General features: G+C 38.7%; 1 protein-coding gene across 11 annotated transcripts in view, besides 3 other annotated features; it reads left to right on the forward strand.

Annotated features, from left to right (window-relative positions):
- Positions 3,093 to 3,666: an enhancer, noted in NCBI's record as "H3K27ac hESC enhancer chrX:129473525-129474098 (GRCh37/hg19 assembly coordinates)". NCBI's record gives its function as "activates a minimal SCP1, AML or CMV promoter by ChIP-STARR-seq in naive H9 embryonic stem cells {active_cell/tissue: H9 hESC(naive)}" and the evidence as "EXISTENCE:reporter gene assay evidence [ECO:0000049][PMID:30033119]".
- Positions 3,093 to 3,688: a biological region, named in NCBI's record as "H3K27ac hESC enhancer GRCh37_chrX:129473525-129474098".
- SLC25A14 (solute carrier family 25 member 14) overlaps positions 3,461 to 25,646 on the forward strand; it is a 33,439-nt gene continuing 11,253 nt past the window's right edge. For 2 of the 11 annotated variants that reach the window (NR_104107.2, XM_047442617.1), the window contains exons 1-5: positions 3,461 to 3,518; positions 8,724 to 8,817; positions 10,086 to 10,233; positions 12,793 to 12,887; positions 22,182 to 22,277. Coding sequence is in view for 9 of the 11 variants with exons in the window: in XM_047442617.1 (XP_047298573.1) it covers positions 8,754 to 8,817; positions 10,086 to 10,233; positions 12,793 to 12,887; positions 22,182 to 22,277 (403 nt within the window). In the remaining 2 variants the exon portion in view is untranslated. Of the gene's footprint in view, positions 3,519 to 3,648; positions 3,923 to 8,723; positions 8,818 to 10,085; positions 10,234 to 12,792; positions 12,888 to 13,365; positions 13,410 to 14,187; positions 14,274 to 22,181; positions 22,278 to 22,588; positions 23,235 to 25,646 lie in introns of those variants that run through there. The other 9 variants (XR_007068205.1, NM_001282197.2, XM_011531402.3 and 6 more) reach the window with 9 other exon arrangements.
- Positions 3,479 to 3,688: a silencer, noted in NCBI's record as "silent region_20999". NCBI's record gives its function as "represses an Ori minimal core promoter by ATAC-STARR-seq in GM12878 lymphoblastoid cells {active_cell/tissue: GM12878}" and the evidence as "EXISTENCE:reporter gene assay evidence [ECO:0000049][PMID:35858748]".

Here is a 25,646-nt window from a genome sequence, read left to right on the forward strand (position 1 = left end):
ATAGTTTAGTGATTTATAATAACTATGTATTTTTTATAATCAGAAAAAATAGTAAAGCTATTGTAATGTTGAAAACTATATATAGTCTTCACCAAAGAAATTAATAGTCCCAATGTACACTGCACTGATAAAATCACATCTTAGGCTCTCATTCTCCTACTGGCCCGGAAGAACCAGTGGCCATATTGTGAGCTGTCTGTGGAAAGGGTCACGTTGCAGGAAAACAGGGGCAGCCTCAGCAGCTGAGAGTGGCCTCTGGACAACAGCCAGAAAGAAACTGAAGCCCTCAGTGCTACAGGTGCAAGGAAATAAATTCTGCAACAATCTGGGTGAGCGTGGAAGTGGATTTTCACTCAGTCAAGTCTTAAGATAAAAATACAAGTCTGGCCGACACCTTGATTGCAGCCTTGTGAGATCCCAGAGCACAGGACCCAGTGAAGTCATGCCTGGACTCTTGATCTACAGAAACTGTGAGACAGTACATGTGTGTTGTTCTAAGCTGCTGAATTTGTGGCAAATTTTTAATGCAGCATAGAAAATTAACACACACTCCTACTAGCAGTATGTGAGAATTTGAGATACTTTACATCCTTGCCAATCCTCAGTCCTTTTAACTTTGGCCACGCTGGTGGGTGTGTATTGTGATTTTAATTTTAATTTTCCTGATGAATAATAATGTTGAACACTTTTTAATATGCTTATTGGTTATTGGATATACTCTCTTATGAAGTGCCCCGCAAGCATTTTTCCCATTAAAAATTTGAGTAGCCTATCATTTTATTACTGTTTTAGGAGTTCTTTACATATACTGGATATGAAATTTTGTAGGATACATGGATTAAAAATCTACCATTGTGGGGCTTGCGTTTTCACTCTTCTTAATGGTGACTTCTTTTTTCTGGGGGGTGGGGGGGATGGAGTCTCACTCTTGTCGCCCAGGCTGGAGTGCAGTGGCGCAATCTCGGCTCAATGCAACCTCCGCCTCCCAGGTTCAAGCGATTCTCCTGCCTCAGCTTTCCGAGTAGCTGGGATCACAGGCGTACGCCACCACACCTGGTTAATTTTTGTATATTTAGTAGAGACGGGGTTTCACCATGTTGGCCAGGCTGATCTCGAACTCATGACCTCAGGTGATCCACCCGTCTCGGCCTCCCAAAGTGCTGGGATTACAGGCGTGAGCTCCTGTGCCCAGCCAAAAAAAATTTGAGGCTGGAGCACAGTGGCGCGATCACAGCTCACTGCAGCCTTGACCTCCCGGTCTCAAGTGATTCTCCCACTTCAGCCTCCGGAGTAACTGCGACTACAGTCGTGGCTAATTTTTAAATTTTTGGTAGAGGCGGGTGTTTCCTTATATTGCCCAGGCTGGTCTCGACCTCCTGGGCTCAAATGATGTTCCTGCCTCGGCTTCCCAACTATAGTATAGATGAGAGCAACATAGCATAGTGGTTAAGAGCAATCCCAGCTCTGCCATTTTCTAAATTACTCTCCTAACCTTTTATGGCCTGTGTTCTCAACCGTCAAAGGGGAAAAATAATAGTACCTGTCTTATAGGGTAGTTAGGAACACAAAAAGCTCTTGGCATCACCCTTGGTACATGGTAGGTACTGCACAATGTCAGCTAATATTATCGTCATGTGTGCTGCCTGGAGAAATTTTTAAGTGGAAAACAAAACAAACAAACAAAAACACAGGCCAGACGAGGTGGCTCACGCCTTTAATCCCAGCACTTTGAGGGGCCAAGGCGGGTGGATCACCTGAGGCCAGGAGTTGGCGATCAGCATGGCCAACATGGCGAAACCCCGTCTCTACTAAAAATACAAAAATTAGCTGGGTGTGGTAGCAGGCACCTGTAATCCCAGCTACTCAGGAGGCTGAGGCAGGAGAATCGCTTGAACCTGGGAGGTGGAGGTTGCAGTGAGCCGAGATCGCACCACTGCACTCCAGCCTGGACCACAAAGTGAGACTCTGTCCAAAAAAAAACAAACAAAACCCAACAAAATAAAACAAGGTGAACTAAAATGAGAAATATCCTTTTGGAAGAACATAGTTCCAAATATTTATTCATTCAACAAATAACCATTTAGGGCCAACTTGCACTGACTTTTCCTTATAACACATAAGCAATAAACCCTATTATTGCGTACTCTCGCGTGATTAGGGAACGTTGTTAAGAGGCTCAAAAATCGGACGTCATAGCTCAAAAATCGGACGTCATAGCACATTGGCTAATGGAATCACCCAGGGGCTTTGCGGTTTCCCCTTCCAGCAGCCAGAGGGGCCAGAGTCGGAAGCTGGGGGTCGGACTCTTGGCATCTTCTGGTGGATTATGAGGTTTGGATTAACTGGGATTTCCCGTTGGTGTTTTTCTGCCTCATCTGTTTAGCTTTTTGTGGTCCCCTTTTTGGTATCCAACTTGCTCTTTCTTAAGTGAAGTTTCTGATTAAAGCAAGAGCTTCGAGTAAGGGGTCTGACCGTAATTTTTCACTGGTTAATGTCTGACGTCCAGTAGGTGCTGTCTGGATCATTCTCCGTCCCTCCCTCCCTTCTTTCCCTCCCCCCCTTCCTTTCTCTCCCTTTCTCTTTTCTTTCTCTCTCTCCCTCCCTCCTTCCTTTCTCTTTCTCTCTCTCTCTCTTTCTCTCCTTTCTTGGATGGAGTCTTGCTTTGTCACCCAGGCTAGAGGGCAGTGGCGTGATCTCAGCTCACTGCAACCTCCACCTCCGGGGTTCAAGTGACTCTCCTGCCTCAGCCTCCCGAGTAGCTGGGACCACAGGTGCGTGCCACCACACCCAGCTAATTTTTTTGCATTTTTACTAGAGACGGGATTTCACCATGTTGGCCAGGCTGGTCTCAAAACTCCTGGCATCAAGTGATGCGCCCGGACCCTCAAAGTGTTGAGATTACAGGCGTGAGCCACCGCGCCTGGCCTTGAACTTTATTTTCTCATTGAGCCCAGGCACCTCACTAAATTCGGCTCACCCCTATGTCTCACTTTCCTACTTTTGTTTTGAAGCCTTTGCCCCACCCCCTCCACGTTGCCGCCTTTTTCGTACTGAGCGCGCAGGGCACTACGCCCACCACTCCCCTTGACCCACTCCTCAAGCCCTGATACCGGGGCGAGGCCCCTTCCTTTTCTAGTCCTTCTACGCGCCAGGTGGGTGGGTTTCGCGGTGACGAGGCGACACCTCTTTCCCCTCTGGCGAGCACGTTAACTGGGGAAGCTACCAAATTCTCACGCCTTAGCTGCCCTGCCTCCACCTCCCGCAAGTCCGGTTGCCCCTCTAGGCTTCTGCGCCTGCAGTGGTTCCGACCCTCGCCTTTAGAACTCTGCCGCTTCCGCCTCTTATTTCGCGCCTTTGTTTTTAGTTTTGGAAGGGGCGGAGTTGAAATGGCTGCGCCGCGGTTGCCGAAGCAACGCTTTGGTTACTTCCGTTGGTTTCAATGCTTCCGGGTTGGCGCTGCAGTGGCGTTTCCGACTGTGGGAGCCTCAGCTTCCCAGTCGTCCGATGAGCCCGAGCAGGTGAGGGGGAGCTCCTGGACTTCCAGGCTGGGGAGCGGGGCTGGGCCGCGCCAGGCCGCGCGGGGCCGGGCTGGCCTGGTTCCCGGCCTGGGAGGGGCTTAACGGTCCTCTGGTCTCTCTCTCCCCTCAGCTGAGTCCCTTCCCTGTCTTTCACTCTTCTGGCATCGGTGGTTTTACTTCTTCGATTGAACCCTGCTTCCTCGACCCCCCTGGGAGGCCGCCTTCTTCAGGCGCCTCCCTTCTCTCCACGAGCTCGCTCTGACAGCTGAGGAACTGGCAAGATCCTGCTACCCAGAGGGTGAATGGGTATCTTTCCCGGAATAATCCTAATTTTTCTAAGGGTGAAGTTTGCAACGGCGGCCGTGATTGTAAGCGGAGTAAGCAAACACCTCCATTGTATTAGTGTAAGGGATACTGTTGAAAGATGCTCCCCTTCGGTTTCTACCCCCTGTCACTCCTGAGGTCAAGGCATTGAAGGCATCTATTAAAATGCAGTTCAGTTACTTGATTGGCATGACAGCTGTTATCAACATGAATTAGTTTCTCAGACAGGATAACAGCAGGGACATTTATGGTTTCCTGTCAGTGATTCCTTGTTGTTGTTGTTTTTCCCCCCAGCCTAGAGATGCCTAGCGTTATCATGAACTCTTCCCTCGTCTTCATTCCCTACATCATCGAGTTCTTTGTGTCTTCATTGGGGAAGTCTATCTCTAACCTCAGTGCCAACAAGCATCTTTGTCTGCTGTACTTTGCACCATCCTAAGCTAGTCTCCCTGCCTCTCCCGTTTGTAATGTAATCCACTGTGTTTGCTGCAGCCCTAATAGGCTAAAATGTGGTGGATTTCCTCAAGTCACTTCGTTGTTAAACACACACACACAAAACATGCAGCCCCCTCCTACACCCCCTACCCCCACCCCTTGGTTTCAAGCCTTTCAACATAACATGCTCCTTATCACACTTCTTGTCTGATACTGTTTCAGTCAACAAGGGAATTCTCTGTTCCAGTTAGGTTCCTTTCTTCTTGGCACAAACCATACTGATGCCTGCTTCTACATGCTGTGCTTGTTCCCACATTTGTGTTTCTGTTCATTCTCTCTTCCCTGCCCCTCTCCCTTACCTGCACCTAACCAGGTTGTACCTACCGTCTCTCAAGGTTCAATTTAGGTTCTCTCACCTCGGCAATTTTCAAATTAGTCAATCCCATGCTGGTTGTAGTCTTTTCTATGCTCCTCTTGCTCTTAAAGTTTGTACTACACAGTTTAGTACTTAATTTTTCTCTAACGCACTACTTTGATTTCTTCCACCAGATTATAAGCTCTTGAAAGGCAAGTACTGTATTTCGTACTTTTTTCTCTGTCCCATCTCATTGGTTATTCAGAAAAGACAGGTTGAGTGGTAAATATTGTCTTGGTGCTAGAACGAATATCTGTGTTTTTCAAATATGATTATACCCAAAGTGCATTGCAGGTTTGGGCATTTAGCATGCCTTCAATAAATATCTGCTTGGCTCTCCATTGTTACCTTCTGAATCTGAGAATCTCTAATTTCTACTCTTTCTTAAAGGAGAAAGCAGGAGAGGCACCCAGAGTTTCCTGACCAGATCTTGGGAGTAGTATAGGGCAATGTAACTTGTATTGTAGGACATTCTTACTTTCACTCATTAGTCTATCAAATTCTCCGAAGTCAGATCTTCAGAATAAATGTTGGCATTTTGAAGACAATTTTCATTGGTTTCTTTATACAGTAAAAATATTTAGGGTACTATATTTTTATTTTACCTTAGATATGACTACTTTTACGCATATTTGGGGTTAGCCCCTACAAGTTAAAATAATTTTTAGAGGGCTTGGGGTATTTTACATAAGTAATTCCTTGGAACAAAAGCAAGGGAACAGGGTTCGCAGGCAGAGAATATCTGGGGATCAAGATAGTGTCATACACAGGGTGTGTAGCATTGGCCAGGTCCAGCAAGTTACCTTCCTTGTTTCCTCTGCAATCTTTTATATACAGGCTGCATACATAGGTAAAGGATGTCACACTGCAAAACCAACTAAGTATTGAATGGATATGTATTCAATTCTATGCAAGCTATAATGGGGGTTATAAAAAGTACTGTGAGATATAGTATCTTCCCTTGGGGATCTTACTTAGTTAAGAGAGGAAATAACATTGGACATCTTGAAGTTGACCCTCATCCTAGTCATTATTTTTATGCCTGAGATTAAGATATAGAAGGGATAAAAGAAGGTTCAAAAAATATTGCACACCTGTAGAATAGGTGTGACACAACACGCATGCATGTAGACAACTTTATGTAAAAGACTTGGAGGTTTCAGCTGACAGTTTAATGATTTGATAGTGTGATGTGGCTCCCAAAAAAGTGAGTGCAATTTTAAGCTCTAGTAATTGAAGTATAATGTGTCAAATGAAGAGAAAGATCATGGATATTTAGCTCAAGAAACATGAGATGTAAGAGAACATCATAGCTGTCTTTAAATATTTGAAGGGCTTGCCTAGGGAAAAAAGAATGCATTTGTTGAATATTACCTCCAAAGACTGGGTACAAATTAGAGGAAGACAGACTTTTGGCTCAATATGAGGAGGGAGTGTCTAAAAACAGATCTAATCAAATATGATCCAGGATTTCTTCATAAGATTTTTTCCTAACATTGGAGTGAAAGAGATTTTACTATCAGATGGGGGTAGGGAAGTCGTGATTGTGGCAATGGTGGGTTTTGCCTGTGGTCTCCAGATTTTTGGATTTCATGGGCCAGTAAAATGTAAATGAAAATGTGGGAAGGGTACACAAATACAGGCTAGTTAGCCTGTGCTCCAGGCGTAAGAAGAATCTGATCTGTTAATAATAGACAGTCCCTAAATTAAATACATTTAGCTGAAAAAAAAAAAAAGGACTAAGTGTCCTTATTTTTTTCATTTCGCCCCAGAATTGTGGGAACTTCATTAGGGAACCACTGGGCTAACTGGCCTAAGATTCAGCGACTGGTCTTTCATCTTCCTGCCATGTCCTCCCTGTTCCTTGCCTTTCACTGATTCATCATTGCTCCCTGAGCACATTTTCCTTATTAAAGGGCTGGTAGCAGCTTGTGAAGTTCCGATAGAGGCTTTCTCTGTAATACAAAGAGTTGAAAAAAGTTGTAAGGAGAAAAAGTTTTGGAGAGACAACTTTAAGTAAAAGTAGCTGTCTGAAACCTTTAAGACTATTTGGGGCAATCGATAAATTTGTGAATGGAGAGTTAATTTTTTCCTCACAAACTCAAAGAGGGGATATGCCATGGTCTTGCTTTTCCATCTCTACTCTCACCATATGTGTCATATTTTACTATCAATTCTAATTGGAAAATGTGGGCATAGCTAGAAATGGTGATAAGGTAGTATTTAGTCTTCAAGACTCCTATTTCCAGCTGCAGTTGATACTTGAAGTGGCTATTCCTACTTTGCTCATTAGAATTCTTTTCAACAACTTTCCCTCAAAAGGGCTATCTATCCCAGACTCTATATGTGCTATGCTTGAAAGGAAGCCTCCATAATGATTTTTGTGGCCTGTAACTAAAACATTTAATCAGCGTGTTTGCTATCTTCTCTGGAAAATTGTATTTTGCTTAGTTACAGAGAATTCCTTATGTGGAAACAAAGCAAAACCTTCAAAGGGATACTGTGACTCATAGCTGCTAACCCCAGACTGGGCAATGGGAGGGAGGGGTGGGCAGCAAGTAATATCTGTTAAGATGTAAATTTGGGTACTTAAATTTTTAAAAATGTAATAATGATAGTTAACTAACAATTATTGAGCTACATGCCAGGCACTTTTAAAGGTGTTTTTCATATATTATTTAATTTTCACAACAACCCTATGATATAGTTTTTATTATTAGTTCCATTTTACAGTTCAGAAAGTGGAGGCATAGAGAGATTAACTTGCCCAAGGTCACAGAACTAGTAAGTGGTGGAGTCAGGAAATGAATCTGGAGTTAGCATTTAAATTTTAACAGTCTGACTTCAGGAGTCTGCATTCCTCACCATAAACCACTTGGAAGTTGCTTTTGAAATTCAGAAGTATACATACTGTGAAGCTCTGAAAAAGGAATATTTGAAAGAAATCTGAGAGTCCATGCTAAGAACAGATACTACTTTCAGATGGACCAGGATTTAGTAGGCAATGCCTAGAGCAGTTCTTAAGTGTGGAAGTATCAGCGTTATTTGGGATCTTGCAAATTCTCAGGGCCATACCACCAATCAGAAACTCTGGGGGAGAGGCCCAACAATCTATGTTTTAATAGACCTTCTAGATGATTCTAATACATGCTAAAATTTGCAAAACCTAGAGGCCAGAGCTCTGGAAAAAATAAAATCCAAGAGAGAGCAAGCTGACAGTGGCAGAAAAAGAGAGTAAAGCTGAAAAGATTGATGATGACAGGTCTAACGGGGGTGGGATAGGGAAGGAGAAAAGGGAGGCTGGGAGCAGAATACGTTGTTAAAGAACTAGAACATAAAAGAAGAACAGTATTTATATGTGTGTGTTTTAAAAGGCCAAGAGGAAGGAAAAGGAGATCCACTAGATGGATGTACGTTAAATGTCAGAGGGAAGATAGACATCATATTGCTATCATTCCTTTGGGCGCTAGAAGGAAGGTGAAAAAGTTCTTAGCTCAGCCTGGGCCTAGTTGGGGGGACAAAGTTATATATAGCTAGAAACCCTATAGTAGAGAGATAGGAGGGCTAAGAATATGAGAGAGTAGTAGTGTGAGCCTGTGCTTTGCACCTGAATCAAGCTAACTGAATACCATGAACTGCTTTTATGAGATGCCTCAGCCTATATAATTTGAATTCCGGGTTCCTTCATTTGTAATTATCTAGTTGAATGTCAAAGTTGGGTGTGCTGGATGGACTGAAGCCTCTTCTCTGGGTGGGGATGAATATAACATTAAAGAAACTGGAGAGAATGAAGGGCACAGGTTGATCTCTGAGTGAATCACACGCCTACCCCTACAAAATGTCAGTAAAGAACAAACTCATGATCATCCAGCACATAAAACAGGATCCCCCATTTTTGTGTCATTCCACTTGGTGGGGTTTTTCTTCTACATCTATTTTATTTGCCAATTTTGTTTATCTAAATTATATGATCAGATGCTAACAAATGCTCCTCACTCTTGTGCCTTGTTCTGATTTGTGTTTATTTTTAGCACCAGAAAAGTACCACTGTAAGTCATGAGATGTCTGGTCTGAATTGGAAACCCTTTGTATATGGCGGCCTTGCCTCTATCGTGGCTGAGTTTGGTAAGAATGTGAGAAATGACAAATCTGCATTATACGGTATAGATGGTAGCTTATGATGATGGTTATTTTTGGTGAAAGCTAGGTAAAAAATAAGAAGCTCGCCTTATTTTGAAAATTGTCTCAAAGCCATGAAGTAATATTTCAGGGAAAGTACTACTGATGGTATGGCAGATGAGTTAAGAAAAGTCAAACTAAGGAAAGCTTTTTTGGTAGTTTAGTGATTTGTTAGTTTGCTAGGCTTAAGTAAAATACATGAATATATAGAGGGAGTTGATATGTCATAAGGGTTTTTGCTATATTTCTGTATTAATAGTCTTTTATGCTAAATTATTTATAAGTTTATTTGTACTGAAAGTCCTTTTTTTCAAACCTCTTTCCCATTTTAGAAGAAAATGTACTAACAAGATCAAACAAGATTCTCTTCTACATGATTTTGATTTTGAAATATTTTTAGATTGTCGTTTTTTTCATCTTCCAGATGTTCTCTTTTCTAAACTATTCATGAGTGACTACTGACGTTCTTGGCATATCCTGTGGTGTTGTGATATTTGGGTCATCAGTGACCAGAGCTACCTAATCACCTTGTTAGTTTTACACCCTGAAATATATTTTGTCAATGTGATGACCACTTCTGTTTGTTGATGTAAGAGGTTTGGTTAAAGAAATTTCCCCCCCAAACACTCTGCTGGTATTAGTCCTGAATTACCTAAGGGACCAGGATGAGTAGAACCAAATAAGACTTTGCCATTATCTTTCATAATATTAGGGGACTATTTGTTTCTTGTAAACAGATAAAAGAAAAACCCCACAAAACTTTGTAACACTATATAAGAGCATCTGGAGCAGCAATCCCATGCTTTCCTATCTTTGTGAAAATTTAGGGAGATTTTATGAGACACAGAGGTGGGGAGACTTGGGGTGGGAAGGGGCAGGAGGGAGACTGATAAATGCCAGATTATATGTTACAGATGAAATAAAAAACAACATTTAATTATTTTGCATTTATAATAGGGCAATCTGAAAGCATTTTATTATATTACAGTTTGAAGTATATTGTGGGTCAATTGGTGCTGCCTATGTATAGTATAATGCATTTCACTTACCACATGCAACTCATGTTCTCTGACAGTGGTATTCTACTAGAGCTCTTCTATGTGTTATAAAAAGGACTTTGTCTTAGGATTCAAATATTGTCCTTGGCTTATATTTAGCAACAACTTAACTGTGATTCTTTGGACATACTTATAAATAAGTGTGTTCCTTTATAGGGACTTTCCCTGTGGACCTTACCAAAACACGACTTCAGGTTCAAGGCCAAAGCATTGATGCCCGTTTCAAAGAGATAAAATATAGAGGGATGTTCCATGCGCTGTTTCGCATCTGTAAAGAGGAAGGTGTATTGGCTCTCTATTCAGGGTGAGACTGGTTCTTTCCTTATATCATTAACAGAAATGCTTTTTAAAGAAGCCATAGTTTTCAGCTGTCTGATAGTTTGTGTCCGTTTCATATTCACCATTTCAACTTGTAATTCAGTATTGATATGCCAGTTTATATTTCTCCTGCTTGTAAGTCTTGAGCTTTGGATTTTGTGTTCATTTGGTTATAAGTGATAATAACATTTTAAAATGGATATGTCATTGCAGCATAGGCTTTCTGTGGATTTCCCGAGAGTCACTAATAGCCACTGTTAATAACAGCACCAATTAATTATATATATTTTTGTGATATCCCTCCTGAGTTGGCAAATTCTGACTTCCTTTAAAATTTTCCTCTTTGAAAAAATATTATTCTTGCAGTTTAAACAGAAAGTGCATAATGAGAGAGAGGGAGACCCATCTTTATCATCACCTTTTGATTAGCCATAATTTTGTGGTTTACTGTCTAGTTTGTAGTTTATCTGTTGCCAGTTTCCTAGGCCACTCCTGCATCTAGGCTACCAGTTTATTACTCAGAGAATAGACATCAATTTTATTGTTAAACTATGTTACATCGTTAAACTATGTTAGACTTAATTTAAAAGGTAATTTTCTTGGGGGAAAAATCAAGTAGTGTATCCTGAAGCATCCTGAAGATGATCCACCATCCTGATTTGTGGATCATCTGTTTCACCTTGTTCTTTCATCAGCATAGATCATCACAAGATATTTTCTGATAGCAAGCAATAAAGTCAGAAATATGCATATTTAGTCATCATTTAAAAATCCTAACCATTTGAGCTGCTGCTGTCTTTCTATTTATACCTCCTACAGTATAGTTCTGCAATTTGGAAGAATCCCAAAGGAGGTATGAATGAGAATGTCTCCAGTTTAAAGGAGAACTTAAATAGGGTGGAATTTTGGCTCTAGTACCTCCTTGTTGATGTGATTAAAGACGTATCTGCAACTGTTAGGAAGTAGAGGTTGATTTTTTTAAAAAAATCTTTATTAGGTGAGCAATGATGTATAATTCTTTTTATACATTGCTGGATTCAATTTACCAATATTTTCTTAAGGAGTTTTGCATCTAAGTTCATGAGAGACATTAGTCTGTGGTTTTCCTTTTTTGTACTGTTTTTGTCTGGTTTTGGTATCAGGGTAATACTAGCCAAAATTAGTTGGGAAGCATTCCCTCTTCTGTTTTCTGGAAGGAACTGTGTAAGCTTAGTGTTAATTTTTAAAATGTTTTGTAGAATTCCCCAGTGAAATTATCTGGGGCTATTTCTTTTTGGGGAACATTTAAATTCAGAGTGCAAATTCTTTAAGGTTATCATAGTTTGGGGTGCTATAACAAAATACCATAGACTGGGTGACTTATAAACAATCGGAATTTATTTCTCACAGTTCTGGAGGCAGGAAATCTGAGATCGGTGCCAGTTTGGTCAGGTTCTGCTGAGGTCTCTTTTCTGGGTTGCAGACTGCCAAGACTTCTTATTGTATCCTCACATGGCAGACAGAGTGAGGGAGCTCTCTGGGATCCCTTTTATAAGGGCACTAATCCTGTTCATGAGGGCTTTACCCTCATGACCTAATCACCTCCTATTACCATCATATTGCGGGTTAGGATTTTAAGATCTTGATTTGGGGACGATACAAACATTCAGTCCATTGCAATGGGTATGAGTTTTATTCAGATTATTTGTTTTATCTAGTTGAGTTTTGGTAGCTTCTGGTTTTCAAGGAATTTGTCCATTTCTTCTAAGGTGTTGAATTTATGAGTATAAAGTTGTTTATACCATACTCTTATTGTCCTTTTAATGGCTGCAGGAATTGTAGTGCTAGTCCCTGTTTCATTTCTTATTTGCATCTTCTGTCTTTTTATCTTTGTGAGTCTTGCTAGAGGTTTATCAATTTTGTTGATTTTTTTTTAAAGAGCTAACTTTTTGTTTCATTGATTTTTCTCTATTTTCCTATTTTCAATTTCATTGATTTGTGCTTTTTATTATTTTCTTTTGCTTGCTTTGGGTTATTTTGCTTTTCTTTTTCTAGTTTCTTGAGGTAGGAGCATAGATTATTGATTTGAGACTCTACCCCCCCCCCCCCTTTTTTTTTTTTAAAATGCAAGCATTTCATGCTGTAAATTTCCCTCAGCACTGCTTTGGCTGCATCTCATACATTTTAATAGGTTGAATTTTGTTGTCATTTAGACCTGTGAATTAAAAAAAAATTCCTTTGACAGACACTTGGTCTGACCAATAGATTATTTAGATATATATTGTTTAATTTCTAAATGTTTGAGGATTTTTCTTATTGATTTCTGGTTTGATTCCATTATTGTCAGATAACATATTGTATATGATTTCAGTTCTTTTAAATTTGTTGAGGTTGGTTTTATGACCCAGAATGTTCAGTTTCTTGCTGAGTGTTTCATGAGTGCTTGAAAAAAATCATATTCTGCTGTTGTTGGGTAGAATGAGATGGGTAGTCCAAATAAGTAGGCTATCTAGATATGTATAATCTGAAAATGTTGAGAATAACTTTTTACTTTTTTTTTTTTCAGAATTGCTCCTGCGTTGCTAAGACAAGCATCATATGGCACCATTAAAATTGGGATTTACCAAAGCTTGAAGCGCTTATTCGTAGAACGTTTAGAAGGTCAGTATACTTACCCTCTTTTGAGGTGATACTCAAAGGGATTGTTGAAATCATGCTTAGTGAGAAATGTTGGTCATGAGGTGCCTGAGAATGGAGGAGAGTCACTGCAAAGACAAAGTGAGCTTGTTCTAACTTGGAATAAATCTTTGCAGAGGTGATATATGAATTAGAGAGACCTGTTCTTCAAATTTGTCCCTTTTCCTATCAACAAAAAAGGCATGTGATCATCCCAAAAGAAACATGGAACAATCTTGTCCAGAAAATTAATGCTATCTTCATCAATAAGAGGACTTCAACTGTAAGGCATTTTCTAGCTGGCAATTTTGATAAGCTTTTATTAGGCAGAATAATTTTAGGCTGTTTTCTAAATTCTGATGTACCTTTGGCTACCTTATGCATATTCAGCATTATCATATGTCTGTTTGCTGCTGTAGCATTTTCCATCATGATACTACACTAAATGGTTATTTTACCACAGGCCTGGGGCTGTTGGATGTTTGGGGACAGCTGGAAAGCCTTTCGGTTAGTAATGTCCTTTGAATCACTTTATTGTCCTAAAGTCAACTTTTTCTGAAGCCTTTTTTTGGGGATTGTGAAGGGTTCTCTTCCACCTCTTTCTGAAATATTTTTCTTTCATAGATTCTTCACTTGGGTTTATTTAGTTTCTATTTGTGGGGTCTTCATGGTGTGAAGGAGCGGTAAAGATTGAATTTCACTATAGAACAATGTGCTCTGTGGTTTCTTTGTTCTTTTTTCTCACTGAGGAGATTTAGTTCTAAATGATTGCTTTTTCATATTTGACTACAGAAATATTTTATAAATTAACAGAGGCTAGGAGAGATCTCAGGCCTATCAAAATTAATATTCAAATAAGTTTTTTGTATTAGACGTAAGATTTTCTCTTTTAACATTCAGTTCCTGAATCTTTAGAGTTGATGATTACCCAGAAAAAGACTTAAAAAGTATGTTCTTTAGATGTTTGAAAAGGTCGAAGGGGAAATACCACCTTCTGAATTTGTGTGTGGGATACTGATAGTTATGTAGAAGAAAAGGACGTGTTCCAGTGTCCTTTAGAAATAATGATGTTTTTAGAAATGATTTATATTTTACAAGTTTTAATATATTTTAGCACTGAATTGAGATCTAGAAATATTTGAGTTTCTTTATTTTCCTAAGCTTTTTGGTTCATTTCTAAAGTCATCTCTCTAACCAAGTTTCCCTTCCTCCAGTAGGTCAGTAGTATGTACTCAAACTGGTGCCTAATACAAGCAGACCTTTCTTTTTCTTTTCCTTTTCACAGATGAAACTCTTTTAATTAATATGATCTGTGGGGTAGTGTCAGGAGTGATATCTTCCACTATAGCCAATCCCACCGATGTTCTAAAGGTAAGAGAGATACAGTGTGATTTGAAAGGAGCATAACTTTGAGTCAGATTTGGGTTCAGATTCCCACTCTGTCACTTGCCAGCTGTAGAACCTTGGGCAAATCAGTTAACTGCATTAAGCCTCAATTTCATCATTTGAAAAATGAATATAATACAGTGTTTATAACATAGAGTTGTAAAGGATTAGCGATAATATATATATAAACTGCCTATCATTGTACTTGGTGTAGTAGATGCTCAATAAATGGCAGTCAGTTTATTATGATATGTGTTAATCCACTGGTCCTCACACTGGGGTATGCAAGACCCTATAGGTTCTTTCCAAGGGCTATGCAGTTTTATAGGAATCAATTTCCAGATCTCTTACATCCATTTGTACTCCATCCTAAAACTGGTACGAGAATGAATCTGTTCATAATAGCCCTTACTCAATTTTACAAAAGAAATGTACGTCCCCACCTATTCTAAATCTTGGTATGGTATGTTGACCTGTGGTATAACCTGGGATGCCAAACAGAGGGGTAAACTGAAATACAGTTCTTGGAGAAGCCTATTTTAGTAACCAATTTGGGTATCTTAAGTCTGTAATGCCTCTGTCTTTCCCTGTCTTATTAATATTTCTATTCAGGGTGAGATTTGGCTTTAAACATGGTATATTTTGGCCTGTATTGGAATATTCTGAATTCAGAACCAGAATAGTATAGGTTGGTGGTGCTGACTTGTTAAGAGTATAGTTGGATTTCTTTAAGGTTTTTTCAAGTCACAGACTGAAACATTTCTTTTAATATAAATTTTCATCTTATTTCATAAAATGGTAAATATTTTCTACTTATTAACGTATTTAAGCTTATGATTAGTTAAAAGCACTAAATATAGGATTAAAATAAGTGAGGGGAACCCAAAGTTTTAACAAATTATTTTAAGGGGATTGCGAGAAAAAAGTAAGAGGACACATGCTTTTTTAAATTTGACCACTAGTGAAACCACAAGTGGCTAGGTTAGCAAAGGAGAGATCTATTTATTGCAATTCAGAGAGGGGTTTGAGAACAGAGAGAAAGACATGAAAAACAACACACATGAAATAAACCACTGGTGGTTGATGGATAAAAATATGAGACAGTCTTTCTGGACTAAAATGATAGTAATTTACAGAATTTTTATATCATTTTAGGTTTACAGAACAAGTTTTTTTTTCACCGTTTATTTTAGATTCAGGGAGTACATGTGCAGGTTTATTACATGGGTATATTGTATGATGCTCAGGTTTGGGATATGAATGATCCCATCACCCAGATAGTGAGCACAGTACCCAACAGTTTTTCAACCCTTGTCCCCCTCCTTCTCTCCTGCCTCTATTATTCCCTGGTGTCTATTGTTGCCATCTTTGTCCATGAGTATGCAATATTTAGCTCCCACTTATAAGTGAGAACATGCTATCTTTGGTTTTCTGTTCCTGCATTAATTCATTTAGGATAATGGCCTCTGGCTCAATCCATGTTACTGCAAAGGACATGATTTTGTTCTTTTTTATGACTGCATAGTATTCCATGGTGTATATGTACCACATTTTCTTTATCCAGTCCAACGGTGGTGGGCACCTAGGTTGATTCCATGTCTTTGCTATTGTGAATAGTGCTGTGATGAACATAGGAGTGTATGTGTCTTTTTGGTAGAATTATTTATTTTCTTTTGGATATATACTCAGTAATGGGATTGCTGGGTTGAATGGTAGCTCTCTGTTTTAAGTTCCTTGAGAAGTCTCCAAACTGCTTTCCAAAGTGGCTGAACTAATTTACATTCCCACCAATGGTGTCTAAGCATTCCCTTTTCTCTGCAGCCTCGCCAGCATCTGTTGTTTTTACTTTTTAATAATAACCATTCTGACTGGTGTGAGATGGTATCTTGTTGTGGTTTGATTTACATTTCTCTGATGATTAGTGATATTGTGCATCTTTTTATGTTTGTTGGCTGCTTGTATGTCTTCTTTTGAGAAGTGTCCGTTCATGTCTTTTGCCTACTTTTTAATGGAGTTATTTGGTTTTTGCTTGTTGAATTAAATTCCTTATAGATGCTGGATACCAGATTTTCATCAGATGCATAGTTTGTGAATATTTTCTCCCATTCTATAGGTTGTTTCTTTACTCTGTTGGTAGTTTCTTTTGTTGGAAGAAGATTTTTAGTTTAATCAGGTCCCGCTTGTCAATTTTTTGTTTTGTTGCAATTGCTTTTGATGACTTAGTCATAAATTATTTCCCAAGGCCAATGCCCAGAATGGCGTTTCCTAGGTTTTCTTTTAGGATTCTTAAAATTTGAGGTCTTACATTTAAATCTTTAATCTGTCTTGAGTTAATTTTTGTATATGGTGAAAGGTAGGGGCCCAGTTTTATTCTTCTGCATATAGCTAGTCAGCTGTCCCAGTACCATTTATTGAATAGGGAGTCCTTTCCCCATGCTTATTTTTGTTGACTTAGAACAGGTATTTATGAAGAGAATTTAATTGAAGAGCTCCTTGTACCTCTTACTCTAAGCAGACAACCCCACCTCCTATGGCCTGGCCTTATACCTCTCAATTTCGTGTCCTTTCTACCTTACAGGTGTAAACTTACTTCCATCTATACCCATCCTTATCTTGTCTTACTGTAGTGGTTTTCCAGACCAGACCAGTATTACCTGGGAACTTGTTAGAAATGCAAATTATCAGGCCCCATCCAACACCTACTGAACCAGAAAGGGTAGGATGGGGCCCAGCAGTCTGGTTTGACAAGCCCTTCAAGTGATTTTGATACATGCTCAAGTTTAAAAAAAACCTGGTTACTCTACTTTTATTCACTTCTGTTTCATCAGAGACCTTTATCATTTGTCCTCTTTCTCTTATTTTCAGTGTCTTCCTCTTTACCGGTTATCTTCTCTCAAATGATAAATATGGTCAAATCTCTCTATCCTAAAATATTTTCTTGACCCTCTGACCTCAAAACACCATGCTATCTCTTTTCTTACCTTCTCATCCAGATTTTACAAGAGTAATCTTTACATTCCATTTCCTTCATAACCTGCTGTAATCACTCCTGCTACTTGATTGAAATCACTCTCCACAGGGTCAGCAGTAATGTCCTCATTATCCAATCCAGTGGACATTTTAGTTCTCATCTTACTTAACCTATTTTGACTAATTCCTTCTACTAGAAGTTCTTTTTTGGTTTTGTTACTACACTATTTAGATTCTGCTTCTAGTTTTCCTATTCCTTAGCTTCATTCATGGGCTTCCTTTTTATGCATATACTTTAAATCTTTTTCTTCTCCCACCCAAGGTTCCATCTTTAGCTCTTTTCTCCTCTTCAGTCTCTCCTTGATGGCCTTTTTCATTCTTTTTTTTTTTTTTTACTATTATTATTATTTTTTTTGAGACGGAGTCTCGCTCTGTCTCCCAGGCTGGAGTGCAGTGGCGCGATCTCGGCTCACTGCAAGCTCCGCCTCCCGGGTTCACGCCATTCTCCTGCCTCAGCCTCCTGAGTAGCTGGGACTACAGGCGCCCGCCACCACACCTGGCTAATTTTTTGTACTTTTAGTAGAGACGGGGTTTCACCGTGTTAGCCAGGATGGTGTCGATTTCCTGACCTCGTGATCCACCCGCCTTGGCCTCCCAAAGTGCTGGGATTACAGGCGTGAGCCACCGTGCCCGACCGCCTTTTTCATTCTTAATACTTTAGCTCTCACTATATCAGTTAGGTTATGGGCTAAGCTACTGTCACAAAGAAACTCAAAAATAAAAGGTCTCCATATACAAGTATTTATCTCTCTCATGTAACCATCTAGAGGACTGCAGTTAATGCTGGTAAGGCAGAACTACTTCATGTAGTCATCCAGGATCCAGGTTTCTTCATTTTTGTTGCACTGCCATCTCCTAGGGCAGGGATTGGCAAACTACTGTCTGTGGGTCAAATCTGGCCCACCCCCTGTTGTGAATAAAGTTTTATTGGAACACAGCCACCCCATTTTTTTATTTATTGTCTATAATTGCTTTTGTGCTTCAGTGACAGAGTTGAGTAGTCACAACAGAGGTCATAAGCCCTGCAAAGCCTAATATATTTACTGTCTGGACCCTTACAGAAAACGTTTGTTGACCCCTGTCCTATGGTATTATTTTAGTCTGTATAGTTGAAGTTGGACCACTATCAAACCTACATTCCAGCCCATGGGAAGAGAGTCAAGGGAAAGCAGTTTCCTTTTGATTTGTCAAAAATAAAGTCAGGAAAAATTTTAAAGTTTATTGTATGCAATAAGAGAAAGTACGGGTCTCGATCCAGGATACTTCAAACCAAATGATAACAAACTTATCTTACAGTACAGTTTATAAAGCAGAAGGGCAGAAACATTTTGACCTTTTTTGTGATTGGCTGTTATAAATTATCGTTCTTTTAAAGGCAAGCAGCTGTTTAAGGTGATTGTCTATAGTTATTGGTTTCATTTCACTGAAGCATTCTGACAAAGATGTAAAGCTTATGTTTTGTGTTTATGATTAGAGATAGCAGTTCCGAGGAAATAGGATGACTTAAGGTTCGGTTACCTGATGATGGGTGGCTGGTCTTGGGGTTTATCTCAATTGTTGCCTCCATTTTTATCTTTAACAGTTTAAATCTTTAAATATGTAGTTTTGGAGAAACAATTTCAAACATATGAGTGAGTAGAAAATAACATAGTACAGTGAACGTCTTTGTACACATCACGGAGGTAGCTAAGATTTTGCTACATGTGCTTTTTTATTCCCTTTTTCTGAATTATTTTAAGGCACATTCCAGACATTGTCATTTTCCCCCATATACTTCGATGTGCATCTCATAAAAGGAATATTTTTCTATATAACCATGGTGCTATTGTTACATTTAACAAAATTAACATTTATTCATTAGTAACATCTAATAATCTATGTTCACATTTCCAGACTGTCTTATATTTTACAGTTGATTTGTTTAACTTGGGTTCCAAAGCCTATGCATTATATTTAATAGTTATGTTTCTTAAGTCCTTTTTATTCTAGAGTACCCCACTCCTGTCCATATACCTTTTATTTATTTATTTATTTATTTGCTTTTTGCCATTAACTTGTCAAATAAATGGGATCAGCTCTCCTTTAGAATTCCCAAGTTTTGGATTTGTCTTTTTGCTTCCTTGTGATATCATTTAACTTATTTCTCTAAATCTTCTCTCTCTGTAAAAGGGAAGGTTTCTGTAAAGGTCATACCGAGTCATGTGAGGAGGCACACAGTGTTTGGTTGTCCCAATATAGGGATGTTAAGGTTGATCAGTGGGTTCAGGCGTGACAGCCCGATTTCTCCTTTGTAGTTTCCTGTCAATCCTTCATCTAATGGTTTCATCCATTGGTGGCCATTACCTGAATTGATTGTTTCATTTAAGGTCGCAAAGTGGTGATTTTCTAATTCCATCATTCCATCCATGTTTCTTAGCTAGAATTCTTCTGCAAGGGCAATCTTTTTTTTTTTTTTTTTTTTTTTTTTTGAGATGGAGTCTCGCTCTGTTGCCCAGGCTGGAGTGCAATGGCATGATCTCGGCTCACTGCAACCTCCACTTCCTGGGTTCAAGCAATTCTCCTGCCTCAGCCTCTCGAGTAGCTGGGATTACACAGGTGCACACCACCACGCCTGGCTAATTTTTGTATTTTTAGTAGAGACGGGGTTTCGCCATGTTGGCCAGGCTGGTTTCAAACTACTGACCTCAGGTGATCCGCCCACCTCGGCCTCCCAAAGTGCTGGGATTACAGGCGTGAGCCACTGCGCCTGGCCAAGGACAACTTTTTCTCATTTAGTGGGGCTGTTTGGCTGTTCTGAAATATAGGCAATTTCCTTTTAAGCAAGACACTGGGAAGTTTCAACCATTATTTCTGTTCACGTTCCATTCTGAAGGACTTGGTTCCATGGCTACATCTAGCTTCAAGAAAGGAGAGTAGATTTTGGGAGACAATAATCTACCACACTACCCAGACCTACTGGGTCATCTAAACTAGAAACCTAGATCATCTTTGATTCTTCTATATCTTTGCTTCCTTCTAGTATTGGATTAGGTATCAAGTTTCTACAGATTTTGCCTCATCTGTATTTCTCAACTTTGTCCTTTCCCCACCATTCCTTTTGTAGGACCTCATCTCAGTAGCCTCCTAACTTGTCCCTTCACTCTAGTGTGTACCCCACTCCCTCAACCCATCTCCAGATGAAGCTGGAGAGATCTATCGAAATCCATATCTGATCTACTATGTACTGCTTCTTTGCCTTTGTGCACGTAACACTTTCTTCCTGAAACGTCTTTCTCATTTTCCTGGTGAATTTGTCCTTCAAGACCAGGCTCATAAACAGGGCCAGGACTAGGGCAAAACAAGTAAGGCAGTCCCCTTTGATGCAGAATGTAAGAAGGTGCCACAAAACTCAGTAATCAATATAAACAACATTTGTATGTAGTATTTTTAAACAATCAAAATTAACGCAAAAAATTCATGATGAACCAAATACCAAAATTTCACATAACTCATCTCATTCACCTTACCCTAATCCTGGCCCTGTTGAGTCCTAGCTTTAGTTAAATTTGATATTTGATTCATTATGGCTTTTTGTGGATTAATTTTGGTTAAAAAATATCATATTGAGACATCATTTATCTTGATTACTGAGTTTTTCTTGCACTCCCTTACATTTCATGCCTAAGAAAAGTACTTCACTTGCCTCACGCTAGCCCCTCTGTTGTCAGGAATCACCTCCTTAAAGAAGTGTTCTACTTACCACAGTGTATTAGTAGTTTTCATTTGTCTTTGTGATAGGTTGTATCTTGATTTAATGGGTTTAGGTTTTTATAATTATAATATTTGAAAACTCTTAGTAGTAACAGTTAACTTTCTGCATAAAAGCATGTTGCCATTACATGACTTACTAAAGACATTTGTTGAAACCTAGAATGGTAGCATGGTGCTTCATAAAAATCAGGCCTACATTTGGGCCGCTAGTATTTAGTGACTGACTACTAGGATTGTATGTGTGCAGAGTCTGTGGGAAATTGTACCAAACCTTTTACATGGCCATTTAATGCTATCTTTCCTTCTTGCAGCTCTCAAAGGCCACTTGGCAGAATATAATATTATGCTTTTTATAAATAGAACTCAACTTAAGGTCTCATAAACATAAAATTATATTTTAAAACACATTTTTCATTTTTATAATTACGTAAGCAATGCATGTTTAATGTAGAAAAATATGGAAGGCAGAAAAAACACAAAAGAGAAAAATGCTTACTTGTAGCCTCACCACTCAGACATAAACCACTGTAAGTATTTAGTTTTATATGTTCACCTCGTCTCTTTGCTGTGCTTATGGATATTTTTAAGTTTACATGTTTTTTATAAAAATGATATAGTACTTCGCAATTTTTTTTCTGGTTAGCAATTAATTTTTGATATCTTTCAGTGTCAGCAAATACCATTGTACAACAAAATTTTATGGCTCCATAGTATTCTATTAAATGAATGTATAATTTCTGTAACCAACCTGTGTAGTTGTTTTTGGATATTAAGTTGTTTCTAATTTTTCACTAAATGAGTCATTTTTTAGTCCTGCTGAGTACTTGATCTTTCTTTTCTCCAAATTTTCTTCTAGCTCCAGAAATAATAGACTTAGTGTGAGGAATGTGAGGCCGATGAAAACCATTTTTATAAAATACACTTTGACACAAATTCTTTTTCTATACAGTTTAACTAATTAACTTTATCATAATAGCAGATATTTTTCTGGGATTCCTGAATACTTCTTTTTAAATTTTAGATGAATTTAAAATGAATTTAAATGAACTTAAAATGAATTTAGCATTTTGGTTCTCTCTGACAAAATAAGATGTTCACCTCTTTTCATTTTAGATTCGAATGCAGGCTCAAGGAAGCTTGTTCCAAGGGAGCATGATTGGAAGCTTTATCGATATATACCAACAAGAAGGCACCAGGGGTCTGTGGAGGGTAAGTACTCTTTTCCTGCTATTATCCTACACTCTCAGTTCCTACAATTTGCAGAGAATTTTTTTTTATATAAAGACATAAAATCGTGAATTATAATCCAAAAACTAAGGTAAGAAACTCCTCATCTCCCTTGAAAGGCCCAAAACTTATCATTGGCCTTTTATTTCTGCATAATGTTTGGGGATTATATAGGTGGGGAAAGTTATTACATTATTTGAGATGGCTGTTTCGATCATATTCACAGTGAATGTAGTTGTTCAGTGTATTTTTTTGCAAGTTCTGTACTAACACGATGATGTATGTCTTTGTAGTGCTTATGTTCAAAAGCTGTTACCGGCTGTGTGCTGTGGCTCATGCCTGTAATCCCAGCACTTTGGGAGGCCAACGCGGGTGGATCACTTGAGGTCAGAAGTTCAAGACCAGCCTGGCCAACCTGGTGAAACCCCATCTCAACTAGAAATACAAAAATTAGCCAGGCATGGTGGTGCATGGCTGTAGTCACAGCTACTCAGGAGGCTGAGGCAGGAGAATTGTTTGAACCCTGGAGGTGGAGGTTGCAGTGAGCCAAGATCATGCCACTGCACTCCAGCCTAGGTGACAGGGCGAGACTCTGTCTCAAAAAAAAAAAAAAAAAAAAAAAGAATAAGAAAAAAAAGCTGTTACCTTAAACAATTTTTTAACCTAAAAAGTCTAACATGTACTGTAAAATATTGAGAAAATATAGAAAAGTAAAAAGAAAAAAAATCCAGTAGTCCCACTGCCTAGAGATAATTTCTGTTAAACTTTTTGTCATATTATCTTTCAGTCTTCTATCTATACTTTGCTTTTCGTCATTGTTGCTCTAACTTTTTAATCCCTAATTATTGTAATATTAATAATATTATTAGTAGAATATACAGAGAGAGTGGAATGGGAAATCTATTAATAGACTTTTAAATAAAAATGAGAGCTTTGGTATTTTTCTTTATAATTTTTCATAACAAAAATTTCAAGCATAAAGAAAAATTGAAAGAATAGAACTATGAAATACATACCTATGAGCTGGATTTGATGGCTGTTAAAGTTTGATCGTATTTGCTTTATCTGTTTACGTGTATACAGACATACACTCTTTTTAGCTAAGCTAAATGAAAGTAGGTTGCAGACATCATGGCACTCAATTAAATTCTTCATTGTGCATCTCCTAAGAATAAGGATAGTCTTCTACATAATAATAATACCATTATCATATCTAAGAAAATGAACAAGTCCCTAATACCTAATATCTAGCCCATATTAGAATTTCCTGTTAATGAGACCAGGCTAATTTATAATTTATTTTCTTCCTTCCTCCTTTTTTTTTTTTCTTTTTTTTTTTGACAGGGTCTCACTTTGTTGCCTAGGCTGGTCTTGATCTTCTGGCTTCAAGTGATCCTCTGGCCTTGGCCTTACAGATGTGAGCCACCATGCCTGGCCAGGCTAGTTTTCTTATAAAGTGTTTCCTCATTGTGTTTGTTTCTCTATCTTTATAGAGAAAATATCTTTATATTTACAGTTTATTTCCTATAAACTGTAAATAGGGTCCATTGGCTTGATTAGATTCATGTTAAACATTTTTGGTAAGGGTGCTTCATAGGTGATGCTGTGTATTTCATACTGCATCACAGCAGGAGGCACATAATATTAGTTTGTCCCATGATTAGTGGTGCCAAGTTTGATTATTTGGTAAGATGACGTCCACCAGATCTCGCCATTGTAAAACATAAGTTTTTTCCCCCTCCTTTGCAATTAGCAAGTAATCTGTGGGGTGATAATATTCTAGTAATATGCATATATCCTAATATCTAATCACCTTTCATCTAACTAATGGTCTTTGCATCCATTAATGGTCCTTGAGGTTTGCTTTTTGGTAACAGCAGGGTACACTTGCTTGATATGTCTAATTTAAAGCCAGAAAATAGAACTAACTAGAACTTTCTCACAAACTGATGACAAGGAACAAAAACAGAGGAATAAATAGAATTGGAGATTTTTTCACAGGAGCATAGCTACTTTATTTTTTATTGTAGTAAAAAGTAGACATAACATAAAATTTACCATCTTAACCATTTTTGATGGTTCAGTAGTGTTAATTAAGTACATTCACATTGTTGTACAACTGATCTCCAGAACTCTTTAGGTCTTATCAAACTGAAACTCTATACCCATGAAGCAACTCCCCATTTCTCCTTCCCCTAGCCCCTGGCAACCCCCATTCTCTTTTGTGTCTCTATCAATTTGACTATTATAGGTACTTCATGTAAGTGGAATCACACAATATTTATCTTTTTGTGACTGGCTGATTTTACTTAGCATGATGTTCTCAAGGTTCATCCATGTGGTAGCATGTGTCAGAATTTCTTCCTTTTTAAGGCTGAATAATATTCCATTGTATGTATATACCACATTTTGTTTATCCATTCAACCATTGATGGACATTTGAATGGCTTCTGCCTTTTGCCTATTGTGAATAATGCTGCTGGGTAAATGGGTGTGCAAATATCTTTTTTAGACCCTGCTTTCAATTCTTTTGGTTATATAGCCGAAAGTGGAATTGCTGGATTATGTGGTAAATCTATGTTTATTTTTTGAGAAACTGAACATAACTGTTTTTATGATCCAGGCTACTTACATGATCTAGGCACCTAACATAAAGAAGCAAAGTACATTGTTGAATGTATTCTTCTGAGACAGACATGTTTTATTTGCATGTTAAAAATACAGGACTTACTTTTTCATTTCAACAAGAAAATATGTTTGCATTTTTCTTCAAACGTGCTCATCTTTGTTTATCTTCCTGCTCTGATTGTAACATGAATACTGAAAACATTTCACTTTCTTCCTAACTTCATTGTAAGAAAAAATAGCACGAGCACAATAACAAAGTATAACTAGCACTTACCACAGAGTTGGAGAGAGAGTAGCATGGTGGGGACTGTGGTCCTGGAGAGCACGGAGAGCACAGTCCCCGTTGAGAGAGGACAGCTACTCCTTAGCTCCAGCCCATTGCTGCCATGCGTTGATGGTGAGCCCGGTGTGGTCAAATTTTCTGGCCTTTCAAGAGAAGCTGGAAATCTGCATTTCTGTGTGAAATATCCTGATTTTTACATATTAACAGCCAATTCAGTCTTTTGGAAACACTGTGGGCCACTCGAAACATGCCTATAGCCTGATTTTGGCCTGTGGGCTCCAGTTTGGGGCCTTACTGTTCACCAAAGCAGTCTTCTGTGAAGGGTACCCTCTTTATGAGAAGCAGGTCAAAGAGCCAGCAAGGAAGGCACCCTTCGGCTAGCCAGCCATATCAGCACAATCAAACATCTTGGCATAGCTGTGTCACTTCCACTTCATTTT

This window comes from Homo sapiens, chromosome X (assembly GCF_000001405.40).
Source record: "Homo sapiens chromosome X, GRCh38.p14 Primary Assembly".
Classification (NCBI taxonomy): domain Eukaryota; kingdom Metazoa; phylum Chordata; class Mammalia; order Primates; family Hominidae; genus Homo; species Homo sapiens.